The sequence below is a fragment of the Homo sapiens genome, chromosome 5, assembly GCF_000001405.40.
Source record: "Homo sapiens chromosome 5, GRCh38.p14 Primary Assembly".
Classification (NCBI taxonomy): domain Eukaryota; kingdom Metazoa; phylum Chordata; class Mammalia; order Primates; family Hominidae; genus Homo; species Homo sapiens.
In genome coordinates, this window is record NC_000005.10 from 149,141,690 (window position 1) to 149,160,867 (window position 19,178).

General features: G+C 43.0%; 1 protein-coding gene and 1 long non-coding RNA gene across 15 annotated transcripts in view, besides 4 other annotated features; both read left to right on the forward strand.

Moving 5' to 3' along the window:
* The window catches only part of ABLIM3 (actin binding LIM protein family member 3), a 119,050-nt gene that overhangs the window by 197 nt on the left and 99,675 nt on the right, over positions 1–19,178 (forward strand). For 8 of the 14 annotated variants that reach the window (NM_014945.5, NM_001301018.3, NM_001345858.2 and 5 more), the window contains exon 2: positions 320–419. In NM_014945.5, coding sequence (NP_055760.1) covers positions 407–419 — 13 coding nt within the window. In that variant the 5' untranslated portion in view covers positions 320–406. Of the gene's footprint in view, positions 1–41; positions 420–19,178 lie in introns of those variants that run through there. The other 6 variants (XM_024446004.2, NM_001301015.3, NM_001370417.1 and 3 more) reach the window with 1 other exon arrangement.
* Positions 225–726: an enhancer, noted in NCBI's record as "H3K4me1 hESC enhancer chr5:148521477-148521978 (GRCh37/hg19 assembly coordinates)". NCBI's record gives its function as "activates a minimal SCP1, AML or CMV promoter by ChIP-STARR-seq in primed H9 embryonic stem cells {active_cell/tissue: H9 hESC(primed)}" and the evidence as "EXISTENCE:reporter gene assay evidence [ECO:0000049][PMID:30033119]".
* On the forward strand, positions 427–1,909 carry LOC124901102 (uncharacterized). Its single transcript, XR_007058988.1, has 2 exons — positions 427–1,100; positions 1,744–1,909. It is a non-coding gene; the product is annotated as an uncharacterized LOC124901102 (long non-coding RNA).
* Positions 727–1,226: an enhancer, noted in NCBI's record as "H3K4me1 hESC enhancer chr5:148521979-148522478 (GRCh37/hg19 assembly coordinates)". NCBI's record gives its function as "activates a minimal SCP1, AML or CMV promoter by ChIP-STARR-seq in primed H9 embryonic stem cells {active_cell/tissue: H9 hESC(primed)}" and the evidence as "EXISTENCE:reporter gene assay evidence [ECO:0000049][PMID:30033119]".
* Positions 4,303–4,472: an enhancer, noted in NCBI's record as "experimental_82052 CRE fragment used in MPRA reporter constructs". NCBI's record gives its function as "activates a minimal promoter by MPRAs in K562 erythroleukemia cells, with activity observed for the introgressed 5:148525640 variant allele {active_cell/tissue: K562}" and the evidence as "EXISTENCE:reporter gene assay evidence [ECO:0000049][PMID:34662402]".
* Positions 5,566–5,735: an enhancer, noted in NCBI's record as "experimental_82053 CRE fragment used in MPRA reporter constructs". NCBI's record gives its function as "activates a minimal promoter by MPRAs in K562 erythroleukemia cells, with activity observed for the non-introgressed 5:148526903 variant allele {active_cell/tissue: K562}" and the evidence as "EXISTENCE:reporter gene assay evidence [ECO:0000049][PMID:34662402]".

Genomic DNA, 19,178 nt, shown 5'->3' on the forward strand with positions numbered 1-19,178 from the left:
GGGCGGGGACGCGCTGCCCCCGCCCTGCCTCCCTGTGGTCCACACCCCCTTTGGGCTCCGGAGCCGCTGGGCAGGAATAGTCCGGGGTGCGCGCGAGCAGGCGCTGCCAACCCCACTTCTGCCCGGGATTCCAATCTGAGGAGCAGGAGGACCGGGGCGCCGGTGTCCTGCCGCCTCCTTCTCCTTGCTCTCACCTGCGCCTATTAGTCCACGCGCCTTCAAGGCCAGGGGCTACAGCCCAGACAGAGAGGGGACAGCAGAGGGAGAGAGAGCACCTGAGGATACAGAGCTGGCACTGGACTGCCTTTTCACCCCCCAGGTGATGAGTGAGGTTCGAAGAACGGAAGATTTAAAAAGCAGCCGGGGCCTCCGTATTGAATGAAAGACCCAGTGCAAAGACATCACCATGAACACTAGCAGTAAGTGGATCCTCCTCTCCTTTGCCATGGGAACAGGGGTGGGGGCGGGAGGTGAGGGAGCCTGCGCTCGGGCTGCCTGGAAAGAGGAAGGAAGCCTGGCATCTCTGGACACATGACCCCCAGGCTCTTTTTTGGTGCTTTCCGTGCTCCTTGGCAGAGGGATAGCTTCATGACTCTGGCTTTTCGTGATAATTTTGCCAATATTTTATCAGCGGCGCCGGCCGCCTCTCCTGGGAAGGCTGCTCGTCTCCTTCTAGCACTGCCTGGGAAGGCCTAGGAAGCAGTGTGTGGCCATTGTCTGACTGTGGGGGCTCTGAGGAGAACTCCCTGCACACATCTGGAAAACCATGGAGGGCCCTGCCTGTCCCAGAGGTGGGAAGAGCAGGGAGGCTGGCCTGTGGGCAGGCGGGAGGGTAGGTGGGTGTGGGCAGGCAGTGGGCTGGGAAGCCGCAGTTTGATAAACAAATAATCGCCAAGCCACCTTTGGGTCTGGAGATTGTGAAAGATCCAGCTCCCGAGTGCCTGCAGCCCGGTGGGCCCAGGGCTGGTTTCTCTATGTACCTGCAGGCTGGTTAGCTATCCTTGAGAACAAGAAGACAGGAACAGCCCTTTGGCCAAGGGCTCTAACATGCCAGAGGCAACAACTGCTTGCAGAGCCAGGACCAGATATTTTGCTGCCAGGTAGGGCCTCAGCTACTGAGAATGCAGTCCGAAATTCAAGAAGGCACAGTCTGTTTCTCTTCAATGTAGCGCTGTGACCTGGGAGGGCATATCTTGGTTCCAGACTCACTCTCCTGCCCTCTTGTCAGCTTGGCCTGTCTAGGTTATTCCAGCATCGCATAGGGCTGTTGAACCAGAGAACCCCTATGAACAGTCACTTCCCTGGGTCTATGACTTTGTTATCAGTCCCCTCTCTGCATCTCAGACTGCTCATCTGTATGATGAGAGGGGTTGAATTAGAAAGCCTTCTAATCGGCCAGGCACCGTGTTCCATGCCTGTAATCCCAGCACTTTGGGAGGCAGAGGCAGGTGGATCACGAGGTCAGGAGTTCGAGACCAGCCTGACCAACATGATGAAACCCCGTCTCTACTAAAAACACAAAAATTAGCCAGGTGTGGTGGTGTGGGCCTGTAATCCCAGCTACTCAAGAGGCTGAGGCAGGAGAATTGCTTGAACCTGGGAGGCAGAGGTTGCAGTGAGCCGAGATCACACCACTGCACTCCAGCCTGGGCGACAGAGTGAGACTCTGTCTCAAAAAATAATAATAATAATAATAAAAGAAAGCCTTCTAATCTAAGAATCTACACTTTTTTTCTTAAAAAGCTAGAGCTGAGCAACAAGGCCAGAACTATCAAGACCTTATTGAAGCTGTATCCAGCCAAAACCTACTATTTCCTCACACACCCCACCCCACCCCCACCTCCTAGCATGGAAGAGAAAAAAAAAAGCAAAAGCTACTGAGATGAAAATAAAATATATTTATTTACTACGTATTTGTATGATTCATCTCTCTGCTGTCTTCCTTTGTGTATTGCATATCTATGCTAAGCTAGCGAGTGTGGCTGGACTCCCTCTGCCTCTTACAGCCAAAGAATTTTGCCTTTTGATTTTGACAGGCTGGAATGGTGTTTTGGCTTCATACCAGGCTCAGGAAAAGAGGAAAATCCTGTAGCCTCTATCAGCTAGTGGGTCACATGTTTGCATTTGCATGTTTTCAGGCAAATAAAGATGTGAGTTGCCTGTCACTTCTCACTATCTCTAGGAAAAAAAAATGTATTTATGAGAGTCCTTTCCCACTAAGTGACAGAAAAGAAAGATGGCTCATCTATTTTTCAAGGAACTAAGAAAAGAAACAGGCAACTGACTCTGCCCTTTTCTCTCTCTGGAATGCTAAGGAACTCTTGTCCTATTAGTAACACTGAGTATTCCTGAAAGAAGGAAACAGACTATCCTTCTTTTAAGAAAAAGAAAGAAAGAAAAGAAAAAAGAATCAATAGAGTTGGATACTGCAGAATATGAGGACTGGCAAAAATGCCACTACTTTTTATAAGCAGGGAGAGTGTGTGAATTTTGCAGTAATGGAAAATGAACAGAGGAGAATGGCTCAGCAGCCTTGGAAGCCCTCCGGGTTCCCCCCAGGAGGAAGTGCTTCTCTAAACAGACACCTGGGGGACACAGCAAGCACAGAGCTTTGAGGGCTTAACTCCATCATCATGGAGGTACCTCCCAAACCCACGAGTCTGCAAATGCAGAGAGTAGACATCAGACCTCACAAGAAAAGGAGTAACAGAGCCATAGGGTGATATGGATAGGGCATTGGCAGGAGGTCCTTGGGTCACCTGACTAAGCAAAAAAGCTCCCCTTTGAGATGTGAAATTCTTAACTTGATCCTCATGCCTGATATTGTCCCTAATAGAAACTCTTGCTTAGTTTTTCTTTCACTTCTATTTATTTAGTCCTTATTCTCCACCAGCCACCATGCTAAGCACTCCCCTGATTGAGCTCACCAGACTGTCCCACCCAACCTGTGAGATGGGTGTTTTTACTCATTTTATGGGTGAAAATTTGAAGCTGTGTTCAGAAACGTTGTAGTTAATGCTCAGTGGCTTCTTCAAGTCATGCAGTTAATTGTTGGGTTATGAAAGGTACTTGGATGTGTAACACATTTGACACTGAGTACAACTCCTAATCAATGATTCAAATGTCAACACTGAAATAGAGGCAAAGCATGAGATTACAATCATCCCTTTGTACACATGGGGATTGGTAAAACTGTGCATACTAAGTCCTGCAGTCAGCCCTGTGGAACCTGCTTATACAAAGAGTCAGCCCTCAGTGTAGGCAGGTTTCAAATTCTGCAAATACTGTATTTTTTTAAATTTCAACTTTTATTTTAGATTCAGAAGGTACATGTGCAGGTTTTGTTACATGGGTATATTGCATGATGCTGAGCTTTGAGATACACTTGATTCCATGACCCAGGTACTGAGCATAGTACCCAATAGTTAGTTTTTCAACTCTTGCTCTCCTCCCTCCCTTCCCCCTCTAGTAGTGCCCAGTGTCTATTTTTGCCATCTTTATGTCCATGAGTACTTAATGTTTAGCTCCCACTTATAAGTGAGAATATGCAGTATTTGGTTTTATGTTCCTGAATTAATTTGCTTAGGATAATGCCTTACAGTTGCATCTATGTTGCTGCAAAGGACATGATTTTGTCCTTTTTTATGGATGCATAGTATTCCATGGTATAAATGTACTACATTTTCTTTACCCAGTACACTGTTGATAAACACCTAGGTTGATTCCGTATCTTTATTATTGTGAATAGTGCTGCAATGAACATATCAGTGTGTGTATCCTTTTGGCAGGATGACTTATTTTCTTTTGGATATATATCCAGTAATGGGATTGCTAGGTCAAATGGTATTTCTGTTTTAAGTTCTTTGAGAATTCTCCAAATTGCTTTCCACAGTGGCTGAACTAATTTACATTCCCATCAACAATGTAAAAGCATCCCTTTTTCTTTGCAGCCTTGCCAGCATCTGTTGTTTTTTGACTTTTTAATAATTGCCATTCTGACTGGTGTGAGATGGTATCTCATTGTGGTTTGGATTTGCATTTCTCTGATTATTAGTGATGTTGAGCATTTTTATTTTTTCATATTTATTCGCCACGTGTATGTCTTTTTTTTTTTGAGATAAGGTCTGGCTCTGTTGTCCAGGCTGATGTTCAGTGTAACAAACATGGAACACTGTAGGCTCAGCCTCCCAAGCTCAAGCGATCCTCCCACCTCAGCCTCCTGAGTAGCTAGGACCGCAGGTGGGTGCCACCAGGCCCAGTTAAGTTTTGTATGTTTATTTTGGTAGATATGGGGTTTTGCCATGTTGCCCAGGCTGATCTCAAACTTCTGGTCTCAAATGCTTCAGCCTCCTAAAGTTCTGGGATTATAGGCATGAGCCACTGTGCCCAGCCCACTTCTATGTCTTCTTTTGAAAAGTGTCTGTTCATGTCTTTTGCCCACTTTTTAATGGTTTTTGGGGGCGTGGGGTTTGTTTTTGTTTTGCTTGTTGAATTGTTTAAGTTCCTTATAGATTCTGGATATTGGTCCTTTGTCAGATGCATAGCTTTCAAATATTTTCTCTCATTCTGTAAGTTGTCTGTTTACTCTGTTGATAGTATCTTTTGCAGTGCAGAAACTCTTTAGTTTAATTAGGTCCCAGTTGTCGATTTTTGTTTTTGTTACAATTGCTTGCAAGGACTTAGTCATAAGTTCTTCCCCAAAGCCAATATCCAGAATGGTGTTTCCTAGGTTTTCTTCTAGAATTCTTATAGTTTGAGGTCTTACAGTTAAATCTTTCATCCATCTTGAGTTAATTTTTGTATATGGTGAAAGGTAAGGGTCCAGTTTCATTTTTCTGCATGTGGTTAGCCAACTGTCCCAGCACCATTTATTGAATAGGGAGTCTTTACTCCATTGCTTAATTTTGTCAGCTTTGTCAAAGATCAGATGGCTGTAGGTATGTGGCTTTATTTCTGGGTTCTCTATTCTGTTCCATTGGTCTATATGTCTGTTTTTGTAGCAGTACCATGCTGTTTTGGTTACTGTAGCCTTATAATATAGTTTGAAGTCAGGTAATGTGATGCCTCCAGCTTTGTTCTTTTTGCTTAGGATTGTTTTGATAATTTGGGCGCTTTTATGAGTTCACATGAATTTTAGAATTGTTTTTCTAATTCTGTAAAAAATGATGTTGCTAGTTTGATAGGAATAGCATTGAATCTATAAATTGCTTTGGGCAGTATGGCTGTTTTAATGATATTGATTCTTCCAATCCATGAGCATGGAATGTTTTTTCATTTGTTTGTGTCATCTCTGATTTATTTCAGTGGTGTTTTGTAGTTCTCCTCGAAGAGATCTTTCACCTCCTTGGTTACATATATTCCTAGGGTTTCTCTCTCTCTTTCTCTCTCTCTCTCTCTCTCGCTCGCTTGCTCGCTCTCTGTGTATGTGTGTGTGTGTGTGTGTGTGTGCATGTCTCTTGTAAATGGGATTATGTTCTTGATTTGGCTCTCAGCTTCAGTGTTATAGGTGTATAGAAATGCTACTAATTTTTGTACATTAATTTTGTATCCTGAGACTTCACTGAAGTCATAGTTTTTATCATGAAGGGGTGTTGGATTTTAGCAAAAGCTTTTTCCATATCTTTTGAGATAATCATATTTTTTTGTTTTTCATTCCGTTTATGTGGCGAATCAATTTATTGATTTGTGTATATTGAACCAACCTTGCATCCTGAGAATAAACCCTACTTGATATGGTGAATTAACTTCTTGGTGTTCTGCTGGATTTGATTTGGTAGTATTCTGTTGAGGATTTTTGCATCTATGTTCATCAGGAATATTAGCCTGTCATTTTCTTTTTTCATTTTGTGTAAATACTGTATTTTCAATCTGCCTTTAGTTGAAAAAGATCTGTGTAAGTGGACCTACACTATTCAAACCTATGTTGTTCAAGGGTCATCTGTATAAGAAATTCCTAATCACTTTATCTGGAGAAGAGGAGCACAGGGCTGTGGTCTTTGAGCAGTGATAAGAGTTGATAGAGTGCAGGCCCTGGAATCAGACTGTTCCAGGTTCCAGTTCTCATTTTTTTATGTGTTAGATGTGTGGTCTTCAGTATGGTTGTCTCATGAGCAAAAAATGAAAATGATGAGGCATACCTCAGCTGGGAATGGAAACCAAATGTTAATGTTTAGTGTAGTATGCAGAGTGTGGTACCTTGGCTGTGGGCACAGCTGGCATCATGTCAGTGATGGGTGGTCACACTGTCATGATCACTGTGGGCATCATTGTGGCTGTCATTGTGGATTTTATGACACTAGCAAGCAGGTCACGCAACCTCTCAGACTTCAGTCACATCCTTCTCATGAATTGAGAAGCACACCTGAAGTGTGATTTTTTAAGGATTAAATGGGATTATGAGGAGATGTTTTATAAACATTTGTAAATTGTTTTTACTAATAAAAAAATGCTTAGATTACAAAAACAAGAGCATGCTTAGTCAGTGGCTCTTCAGAGTGAATTTTAGTTTCATTAGAATCCTTTCTTCTGAAATCTAGCTGAATATTAAGAAAGGGGTAATTTTGGAGATGCTGGAGTGAGGTGGTGGGCAGACCTAGGTAGAGCACAGCAGGTGGGGTCTGGTCCTTATTCAGGAGAAAATAGACACCAAACATGTGAGCAGGACACCCCAGGCTTGGAAAGGCCTGGGCTCATACTGAGTCAGTACACTCGCTTCGCTGAAGGACTTCAGAGGAAAGGAGGGAAACTGGCCAATCATTGCCACTTTGTCTTCTGTAGGGTAGATCCAACATCCAGCCTTTCTTTCTCTCATGAACTCTCAACCTATTCCAAGGATCTCTCATTTGTCTCCTGACCTACTGAGGCAGCCTCTAACTGGCCTCCTTTCATCCATGCCAGCCCCCTTCAGCGATCGGCCGCATCCCTACTCTGTATCACACTCTGCTTAAAGTGAGGCTCCCATGCTCCCAGGGTGAGAAAGGAAACTCCTCAGCAAGCCTGTAAGGCCCGATGTGGCCTGCTCCTGGCCTTGCTGACCAGCCCCATCTTGTCTACAGTGCACAGTTCTCAGTGTCCTTGTCACATGTGCCTTCTCCCATTCCCTCTAAGGGTTTGCTCCTGCTGACTTTACATGCATGGTTCCTTCTGCCGAGAAAGCCCTTTCCCCACTAGCACCAGCCCCTCTGCCCAGCCCCACACTTCACACTTCACCAAGGCTGGCCTCCTCACCCTCCAGAGCATCAAGTGCACCAAGATCAATGGTACCACATACTGCTCCTACTCATTTTATAGGCTTCCTCCTGCCTCTAGCCCCTTTGTTGGTCTTTACCATGGATTTGTATGCTAACAAATTACTTTTTTAGAGTAGACTTTGTTCTGTTGAAGAGAGTATTGAAGGGTCAAATAACTCCCACAAAGATGTCATGGGATAAGTAGAGACCATGCTGGGACAGCAAGAACCTGAGCTTTGGGGTATGGATTCTCGAGTTCAAACTCAAGATCTATCATGTACTCTCTCTGTGGTCTTGGACAGAATAGATCATGTCTCTGAGCTAAATTTTACCATGTATAAAATATGAGCAATAAATGCCAAGGTGCAGGGTTCTTCTAAGGATTCAGCGAAATAACATTAGAAACTCACAGGCATTGGGTCTCAGTGAATGGAGTTGAGTCTGAAGTTGAGTTGACTGTTGAGTAAAGCAAAGTTCTGGAAAGATGGTGTCATTAAAACTAAATCCTCTGATTAAAAATTAGTCTGTTCTTCTGGTATTACAGTAGGTGATGGATTTTCTACATAGGAAACTCATAGCTCCCGGGAAGCCTACAGGAAGCTTATTAACCTGGCATTGTATATGGCATGGGTTGAAAAAGGGAAGACAGGAAGTTAGGATCCCAATTGTCCTAGTTCAGAAAACGTCTCGGGCCAAAATTTGGATGGTTATAAAACTAGAAATAAGGGGAAAAATCTTTTAGAAAATAAAGACTGCATGGCCTAGCCACTGATTGTTTTATAAGGCAAAGAGGAAAAGGAGGATTCTATTAGGTAGGGTCTTGGCAGAGAACAGATTGGCAGTTTGAGAGGAGTTAAATGGAAGGACTCTTCACAAGTGTGTGAGAAGGACATTAAGAAACAAACAAAGAGAAGCAAGCATGACCCAGTACCAGGAGCCTAGTAACTGTGGCTCATGACCCACTGCTACCACAACTGCCCCTAGCTGGACCCAGAGACCCAGCTGGCTATGGGGTGAAGGCTGCCTGACAGGAACTGTGGCTGTGGCCCCAGGAAGGCAGCCAGCCTAGTTCCAAGGAAAGAACTAGGAGGATAAATATCCTGATCCTCCTCTTCTCTCTCCCTCAGATCTCCTATGGGTACCTCCCATTGGTCAAATCCAATCAGGAGCCAGAGGGCAAGGAAGGCATTTGATAGGTTCATAATGGTCAGCAGCTTCCCAGGGCACAGTCCAGAGTAGGGAAGCAGGCAGAACGGATCTGGAGAGGTGAGGGAGTTCAGAATAGAAGACACCCAGCACACGGGGCATGATGACCTTCCTCTGCTAATGCCATTGCCCAGATCAAGAAATCTAAGGATCCCTGAAGACAGGATCCTGACACACAAGAACGCAGTAGGATGCCCTCTCTAGAAATTCTACATCTGCAAAACAGATAAAGTAGAAGTGATTATTTACTCCACAAGGATAGAGATTGTTTTAAAACAGTACTTCCCAAATGAATGAAGCAGTTGTTGACAGATGATTACCTGAGGCTAAGAAGGGGTTAGAGGAATAACGTAAGGAACAATTTTAAAATCACCCAAAATGACTATAACACATCTCAGAAAAATCACAACGTGATTTCAAGAGCACTTGGATTGCGTAAAGGAAGTGATATCAATTCTGAACTCCAGCTTTCCTATCTGGCAAAAGCTTTATCTTGCTGAGATAGCATCTGCTGTGGTGAACGGTCAACAACTGGCTATTACCCAACTTTAGGCAGAAACCATTGTAAAAGTACAGAAAACAACCAGAAGTATCTGAACACCTTCGACTTTCTGGGTATTTTGCCAGATAAATTCTTCCTTTGCAGTTCTTAAGGGCACAGACTGAAGTTAGGTTGCTGGACTCAAATTCTAGCCCTGCTTGTACTTTCTGTGTATCCTTAGGCAAGTCACTTACCTTCTCTGTGCCTCACTTCCTCATCTCTAATGATAATTACAAGGAGGCAAATAATAGTGCCTCTGTCAGAGAAGAGATATAAAGAATAAATAAGTTAGTTGTGAATTCCTTAAAACAGTGCATGGCACATAACAAAGGTTTCTGAAATAAATAGTATATATTAGTTTGCTAGGGCTACTGCACCAAAGTGCTACAAACCGGGTGGTTTAAACAACAGAAATGTATTGTTTTATAGCTCTGGTGGCTAAAAGTCCAAAACGAAGGTGTTAGCAGGGTTCCTTCTGAAAGCTGCGAGACAAATGTCTACTCGAGGCCTCTCCTTTGCTTGGAGATGGCTGCCTTTCTCCCTGAGTCTTTTCACATCACCTTTATCCATGTGTTTCTCTGTGTCCAGATTCCCCCTTCCACAGGGACACCCGTCACATTGGATTAGGACCCATCTAATGATTTCATTTTAACTTGTTTATCCCTGTAAAGACTCTATTGCCAAATACGGTTATATTCTGAGGTACTGAGGGGTAGGGCCTCAAATATGAGTTTGTGGGGACACAATTCAATCCATAATAGAGTGTTTGTTAAGGAAATGACTCCTCAAGGAGATTTTCTTGTGTTTTGGTTTCCCCTGAATGTCAGCCACTGTCCACACTAGCGTGAGATGCTAACAGTTGGTTACTAAATGCAAGTCACTAAGTTTATCTATCTAGTCTTGATGTTTAAACCCTCATTTTGCTATCCCTGACCCATGGAGGTAGACCCTCTCTTCCTAAGAATCTGAAGGGAAGTGCTCTTACATAGGAGGTCCCCACATGGGAAGACCCCAGTAATTTAGTATGTCCACAGCCAGTCTGTTTGCCACACTTTCCACCCCACCTGGTCATTTCTTACAACTGTGGTGTTTCAATAGTGTAAGGGAAGTTAGTCATGACATTCGTTTCCAATCTTCCTAGTTCCTGGGCCTGTCCAACACAGGGAATAAGAATTGGATTGTTCATTTGTTTATTCATCAGGTATTTACTGGACACCAGCTCTGCACTAAGCATAATGCTGGAGATACAACAGTAAATAGAACCAATGTGGCCTTTAAAATCATGGGTCACACAGCTGGGCAAAATGTGCCTCCTGGTGGCCAATGTAAAGGGACACGTCTTATTTGCCCTACACCAGGTTTTTAGTGAATTTGAATTATTTGCCAACAATGGGAAATTGGGAAATCAGAAGTGGGATTTCTGGCTCTCTTAAAAACAAAATGAAGTCGGAGGATTTTGCAGCCCTGACCCAATTTTTCTTCCTAACAGCAATCAATAGGATTGCCTGCTTTGGATGGGGTATATACTTAGTTTCTGGCTTGCCACAATTATCACTTCCTATTAAATTACACAGTGACAGCTTAATATTTTTATGTCACCTTGCCACTGCAGTCCAGTAGATGATCCATAAAACATCAAATATGTAGAAGTGATTCTTCACACAGAGATGTGGAAGCTGCAGCACATCTGTTAATGATTATGGGAGAAAATCCTGTCTGAAGTTAGCAATTGATTAACATTGCCATGATATTAATGTCCTCATGAAGTGAGCAAAACCCTGCCACATGTCCTTATTCCCCCAACTGACCCATTCCCAGAAGGGTGATGTCATATCCTGTTGGATACAGTTAGGCAAATAACAGGGCAAACAATATCCTGCCCTGACCTCCTGGAGGTCAGTTTTGTTTTCAGAGAACCTAGTAAAAGAGAGTAGGACACAGAACAAAGGAGGGCAATTCTGGATAACTGATCCCAGATCTGGGTACCTTTTCTAGCCCAAAAGAGGGCGTCTGAGGAGGCTGAACTGTTCCAGAGAATGTTCTGACATACGGGACATGCCTGGTCCAGTTGAGAACATCTAGTCAACAGCATGAGCTCTGTATGGGTTGGGTGAGTTTGATTACCCACCCAGCTAAGGGATGACTGCTGAAAGGCCACAACAATGATTGCATGTGGCTACTCACAACCTTTCCTCTGTCATTATAGAGTCCTCCTGCTTGAGAAAGTAGATCATGCCAACATAATTTCTTCTGTTTAGGGCAGATTCTTCCTTATTCCTCAGGAAGAAATCAAGGTAGCAAATAATTCACAGAAAGCAAAGCACAGTGTCTGGCACATAGTAGGTACTCAAAAGATAATTGATGAGTTAACGCATTCATGAAAAGCCCACTCTCTCTAATAAGCCCCAGGATAAAGATAGATAAAGATCTCTTTCCTAAGCTCTAGGGTCATCTTTCTGATCATCTGCTAAGATGGCTACTAGAATATTCCCAAGGCACTTCAAAATTTAATAAATTTACTCTCTTAAGAAAACAAAAGCAAAAAGCCTACCTTAGCTCTTACAGTCCTGGTTGATCTATAGAACCTCTATCTACCCAGTCATAAGTCAGTGATTAGAAAGCAGTCTTCTGAGACACTTCCCTTTCCTCCACTCTCCTGTGTTCCATCTGTCACCACATCTGGTCATTTCTACCTCCCAAACATGACTTGAACTCTTCCCCTCCTCAATGACCATCACTCCCTAATGTCTCCTACACCAGGCATGGCAGCCATTGGAGGAAGAGGTTAGGGGAGCAGGAGTTGGTCTCAAGTTCAGAAAGAGGCAACTGAGCAGTACGGCCTACAGGAAAAAATGTGATTTCAGGCCATATGGACAGGAGGTGAGAGTCCCACTCTGCAGACCCTGATCAGGCTCTGTTTGAAACATTATATTCAGGGAAGACAGTGATCAGCCCGTATATTCCCAGAAATGAGTGACCGGAACAGTGGAAGGACTTGAAACATGCTGGGGAGAGGATGTTGAAGGAACAGTAGGAAGACGCCAGGCAGCTCCACATGTTGGTTTTGTGTCTGCCTGAGAGTATGGATGGTCCCTCAGTGATTTCAGATTAGGTTTCACCTGGCTCCCTAAACATCTCTTAGGCCTTTTTTCTAAGGGTGTCACCAGACAGACAAGGAGAACATACAGGCTCCACATGCCGCCCTGCTGTTCCCAGGGGCTGTGGTGGCTGTTTGTGTGCCTGTGCTACAGCCCCACCTTCTCTCGCAGCAGAATGCTACTCTCTAGTGCCTCTATCATTTCCAAAGCTTCGTCCTCACATCTGCTTAATTTTGTGCAAAGCACAGATCTTTCTCCATGGGCTGTTACTCTTGCCCTCACCAGGCCAGCAGGGCCGATGAAGCAACTGCTTTGCAATAGTCTAATGACACAGCTGATCTATTTTAAGCACCTGAAGCACACTCTATCAAGTGCCAATCTTCCCGCTGCAAGTCACGCTCAGCTTGCAGCAGCAGGGGCAGCCCAAGGTCTATTCCTATGTTTTGAGATATGGGGAAACAGCCCAGGGATCCCAGCCCTGCCCGTCTGGTGATAGTCTAAAGCAACCATAAAATTAGATATTTTTCACAGTCAGCATGAGTTGTTCTCGAAAGAGAGTTGCCTGTGATGTTAGCATTATATGGTGCAGGAACCTCAGGTGATTATAAATCCCCCTTTCAACTGGCAGAGACAGAGCCTGGGCCTGTTACATGTAGGGAGAAGGAACTTGAGAGGCAGCATTTCAGGAACTGAAGCTCAATCCCCATCAGAAATTCCTTAGACTCAGACTAATGTTTTCTCCTCCTCCTCCTAATCCAGAGACTCTTTTCCAACTGCAGCCTGAGTGCAAATGTTTTACATCTATTATTTTATTTAATCCTTACAACAATCTTACATGGGCCTTCCTTGAATTCTGTGTCTAGGGAATATCCCCATGTTATATTTGCTCTCACTATTCTTCACAGAGCTTACCATAGTCAGTGATTATTTTGTTCATTAGCTCATTTTCTTTGTTTCTTTCTCTCATCCTCCTTTGACTATAAGCCACATGATGATTGTGTGACAAACCCTGTCTGTTTTGTTCACTGCTGAGTCCTGCACACTCAACATGGTGTTTGATGCAGAGTGATGATCACTTATAAAAGCATTTCTTGGACACATGAATGAGCCCACTTACGCTTCACAAGAGTCCTAGAAAGAGGACACTGACATTGTTCTCATTTTACAAAGAAGGAAATTGAAGCCCAGAGAAGAGATATTTGGCTCCAAATCACAAAGTTAAGAAAAGTGATGGAGCCTTGAGTGAATATGTGGATGGATTCATTTAATGAGGAATACTTCAATATCCTCATTTTACATAAAAGGAAAATGAGATTCAAAGGTAAATTGCCTGGATAAAGTCACATGAGCTAGGAAGCAGAGGAGCAGATGTTTAAACTGTGTTGGTCTGACCCTGAGGCCTCCTTTCCCTCCTCCCTGCTCCTCCTTTTTACCATCTTTTTGTATTTTTACTGTGATGGAGATCTCCAGGGGAAACATGGATTGGGATGGCTGATCTTCCCGTTGGATGCCCCAGCACTATTCACTCATTCACTCGGGCAGTGAAACAAATCTTCACGCTGTGAGACAGTGACATTCCATATTCTAGGCACCATGAAATCAATGATGCACAGGACAGAGAACTGGACCTCAGACTGCTTCCATCCAGCATCTTGGAGGGGCAGACAGAAGCATGCATGACTGTGATGTGAGATAAACCATGGCGGGTGCTGAGAGGGAAGGAAAGAGTACAGAGGAAGACAGGCCAAATTCCTCTGGAAGGCCTGGGAATGCTTGTTGGAGAAGGTTCCATTCAATCTGGTCCTTGGGGCAGGGAACAAACTTATGTTGTGTAGGGTTGAAGGAAAAGAAAGAGCAGTCTAGATGGGCTTACTCATTCCTAGGCAGGCATTCCACACACCCTAATGCACAATTCCTGAGTCCTGGGCCTTTGTCTGGGTACTGGGATGGAGACCGAAATAAAAAGACAGAAAGCCCTCATCGGGAACTGTTAGGAAGTCCAGTTTGTATACGCTAGAGAATATGAGTATGTGGACACTGAGAAAACGCTGGGAGTTGGTGAGGATCAGCTCTTTGAGAGGGTCAGATGCCACGCTAAACAGTATTTGTTACAATCTACAGCCAATGAGGAGTCAGGAGAGGTTTGGAGCCCAGTAGTGACCTGCCCAGAGCTGTGCATTATTTAGGAAGATCTCCCCAGCAACACATACCTCATGCATCAGAGGGCCTGGAGGCAGTGAGAGGCAGACCTAGTGCAGCAATGCAGTTGTGAGTGGATGCGAGGGAGAGTGTGGGGATGCAGGGAGAATGAGCTCCCAGTTGTTCTGCAGCCAAGCTGTGCATTTCTGCAACTATGCCCATGGGTGGGCTTGCTGTATATTCTAATACCTGGGACTGTGAAAACTGGTACTTTGAAAACTAGGTTATTGACCAAACTGAGAAGGCTAGATCGTATATTTGATAAGAAGTTGAGCTATAGAATCAGACTGCCTGGGTCCAAATTCCAGCTTGACCCTTATTAGCTGTGCCGCCTTCAGAGAGTTGCTTTTTACCAGACCCCCAAACGTCAGGTTCCTCTTAAGATGGGGATGATAGGTGAACTTTAAGTGAGTGAATATATGTGAGATGCTTAGCACAGTGCCTGGCACATGGAAAATACTCAGTAATGATTAATAGTGATAAGTAATGGAACACATTTGAATGTACTATTTTGGGAAAACCCCTTTTAAAGATACAAAATAACCAACACATGCTATTGTTATGATGTAGTCACCACTTGGTCATTCCACTAGGAAAGAAGAGTGGTATATATATTGGTAACACAGGACTTTTTAAGCTAACATTTAAGGAGCACTTATTACATGTAAGACCCTATGCAAACATTTTGCCTGTATTATCTCTTTCAGTTCTTGGCATGAGTCAGGTGTGAAATGAATGTTGGAGAGGGCAATTCTGATTAAGCAGGGAACATGTCACATTAGTCCAGGGACTGGCAAACCTTTCCTGTAAAGGGATTTGCAAGCCACACAGTCTCTGTGGCATGAAAGCAGCCATAGACAATGTGTAAAGAAATGGGTAGAGCTGTGTACCAATCGAAATGTATTTAGAAGAATAAAGGTGAAGGGTGATTTGGCCCGTGAGCCGGTTTGCTGACCCCTATACTAAATGACCTCGAAGGTCTTTTGCAACTTTGAGATTCTAGTCTGAGATTCTAGTCCAAAATGATGACAAAGAAATGTTCAATCCTTCTAATTTAGTTTATCTCTGTAATCACAAGGGGTGTTACTTCAAATAAGATAGAGAAGGTCATTGGGAATAGACACAGAGAGGACCAGAAAGCGTTCCATTCTTTGTGTTGCCTTCATAGTCAGCACACCTCATTAACTCACACTCTGATATTATATGAGTCTTCTCAAGTGGCCATTAAATGACAAGCTGCACAGGCTGCCCTGGGATCTGCAGAGTACACAGTTCTTCAGAGGCAGAGAATGATACTCAGACCAGAGACTTTCACATTTGGGAAGGAACATACAGGACAATATTCCATGCCAACACTTCAGTATGCGGAGCAAATCCTCCCCCTTTGCTCCCGATTCACATTTCCTACTCACAGCCCACATGCCTTGTAGCCTAATATGATAGCCAGGGTGTCTGCTCAGCATGTTTTATCCTTCCTCCTTCTGATTCTTTATAAGAATTTCTCTCCATCTCCTTGTCATACTAATGGACTGTCACCATGGTGTTCTGTCCCCCACCCCCCGCCCCTGAGAATGACATATGACTTATGCTAGCCAATCAGAGTTTCCCATCCACCTTGGCCACAAGGATTTGCTCATCAGTGGAAATTAAACCCAAGACAGGCCAATCAGAGTATTCCCTGGAATTGGATAGGGAGATATTCAGAAGAAGAAGTGTTTATTCCATTGAGATTGCTGAGCTAAGGAGAAAAGAGTGTGGGAATACCAGTGGCCATGATTGTCAAACATGAAGAAGCCATCTGCAAAATAAAGTCTTAGCTCTGACCGTATAGGAAAGCCCCTAATCCAGCCATACCTGAAGGCAGAGCCACCTCAGACCCCAGACTTCCCAGTTGCAAGAACCAACAAACTCTCTTTTTGCTTAAACTGGTTTCCACTAGGTTTCTGTAAAGTACAACTGAAAGGGTACCAACAAAGGCACTTTTTAAAAAGCATTATTTCCAGTTGGCAGTTGCCCTTATAATGACCTCTTATTTATCAACAGCCCAGCCATCTTTAGGCTTAAATATTCTTCCACCCTGCTACCTCTCATTCACTCCTGAAGTGATTTTATTCCCTCCTCTGAAGTCCTTGGCCCTTAGTTTAAAACATTCTTATAATTACAGGTCATTTGCTGTGAGTCAACATAATTTATTCATGTGCATTTCTTAGTGCCCTCTTTCAGATTATAAACTCCTTGAAGATAGAAATCACGTGTCTATGGGGTATAATGTATTTGTTCCCCAACTGCAAGCCAAAGATCACTGTGGAGCCATGGAATTATTGCTGGAGCTTACAAATCCATGTGTGCTCCTAATTCAAATGCATAATGCCTGTCAAATGAATGTGTTTGAAAAAAGTTAATATGGCAGAAAGCTAACATGTAAGTATTACTTAAATGTAATACTAATATACAGAGGATAACAAATATTTTTTATGTTAAAAAAGGAATCCTCAAATGATCTAAATGTGGTTGCATGGTTGTATATATATGTAAAACACTTTGAGCTGTATATTTAAGATTTATATACTTGACTCTATGCAAGTTATGCCACAATAAAAAGTAAAAAATAAAATAAAAATAAGAAGTCCTTATACTTGACAAGTCTAGTCAACCATCACTAGTACTGTTACAAGATCAATACCAATACACTAAAATTAATCCAGGATAGATCACTGACCTAAATAAACCAAAAGCTAAAATTACACAGCTTCTGCAAGAAAATGTAGGAGAATATCTTACAACCTCAAGGGAGGCAATGACTTCCCAGAACACTAAAATTTGTAAAAATGGGCAAGAATTCTAACAGACACATCACATGTACAAATGGTTAATAAGCACATAAAAAGGAGCTTAACATCATTAGTCATGTTAAATGCAAATTAAAACCACCTTTTTACAGCCTCCCAAATGGCTAAAATTCTGGTGAAAATGTAAAATGGCACAACAACTATGGAAAACTGATACAGTTTTATAAAAATTCAACATACACCTACCTATGATCCAGCAATGCCTCTCCTAGATATTTCCCTGTGAACGATAAAAACATATATCTGCAAAAAGATTTATGCAAGAATGTTGCTGTCAGCTTGATTCAAAATAATCCAAAGCTGGAAACAACCCAAATGTTTATATATAGACAAATGGATAAACAATCTGTGATTATATTTACACAATGGCATACTATTCAGCAATAAAAAGGAACAAACTATTGACACATGCCAAAACATGAATGAATCTCAGAAACATGCTGAGTAAAAGAAATCACACATAAATGAGGGCATACTGTATGATTCCATTTATATGGAATTCAAGAAGGCAAAACTAATCTATGTGGACAGAAATTATAACAGAGTTTGCCTTTGACTGGGGGAGGGGTGATTGATTGCAAAAGGTTGCAGCAAATTATCTAGAGTGATAGAAATATACCTTATCTTGATTAAACTGTTGTGGGCTATACATTTGTCAAAACTTATTGTATTTAAAATCTATATGTTTCATTAATTGCAAATCATGCCCAATTTAAACATATATGCGTGTATCCCCTTAAACAGAGTATGTGTGTATATACCTATTCCCTTAGATAGAATAGGCTTGCAAACAGAAGAACTAACTTGAGATCTCAGCTCTCCTGCTAACTCTGTGACCTCTGAGGCCAGTATCCTTATCAGTTCTATGGCTCCATCCTATCAGCCTTGCTTACCTCAAAGAGCTGTTTCAACTATGTAACACCTGTAAAAATTTTTGGTAAACCTTTAAGCGTCGTACAGCTCAAGAACCTCCTCTCCAACTTATTTTGTGCAAGCATCTCCCTGGCCCTGATGTTCTAGCTGCACTGGCCTCCCTAAACTCACCATGTGCTTTCTAGCCTCTGGACCCTTCCTTGCAAATGCTGTTTCTCCATCTCATTTGTACTTATCCCTGGTTTTCCACAAACAGCCCTCTCCCATCCTTGTAGTCTCAGCTGAAATGTTTTACCTTTAGATTACCTGTCCCCACCCCTTATTTATTTCCTTCATTCTACTTGTCACACTTTGTAAATATCTGTTTACTTGTCACAGACCCTTCCCACAGAATGATAAACTCCCAAAGCATAGCAAACATTAGCAAACAAGACTGTTTTATTCACTGGAGTATCCCCAGTTCTTAGCACATAGAAATTACCCAGTAAGGCTAGGAACAGTGGCTCACACTTGTAATCTCAGCACTTTGGAAGGCCAACGTGGGTGGATCGCTTGAGGTCAGGAGTTCGAGACCAGCCTGGCCAACATGGTAAAACCCCGTCTCTACTAAAAAAAATTACAAAAATTAGCCAGGCATGTTGGTGCACGCCTGTAATCACAGCTACTCAAGAGGCTGACACAGGGAATCACTTAAACTGGGGAGGTGGAGGTTGCACTGAGCCAAGATTGCACATCTGCACTCTAGTCTGGGCGACAGAGTGAGTGAGACTCCGTCTCAAAAAAAAAAAAAAAGAAGGAAATTACTCAGTAAATATTGATGAATAAATAATTGTGCCAACAAACATGAACTTTGGTTTATAAACTTTGTAACCTACTTGTGCTGATTTGGGACTTTCTGCTTGGAGCCAGGTCTTCCCTAGGGCATGGTGGGTGCCAAAAAATGACCCCAGGTTAAAGTTGGTGTCACTGTAGTGTGCTCACTCAGGAAAAGCTTTTTGTGTCAAGGGACTCAGGAAAGGCTTAGGACATCCTGTGCTTTGGAAGACAGAGACACTTTCTAGTTATGGCTATACTTGATGGCCCATCTGTTGGGCTGTAAGCTGGGGGTTCTGTGTGCACCTCCAGGCTGGGAAGAATCTGAAGTACACACAGGCTAACTGTCTAACATGGGGGAATTGTCCTC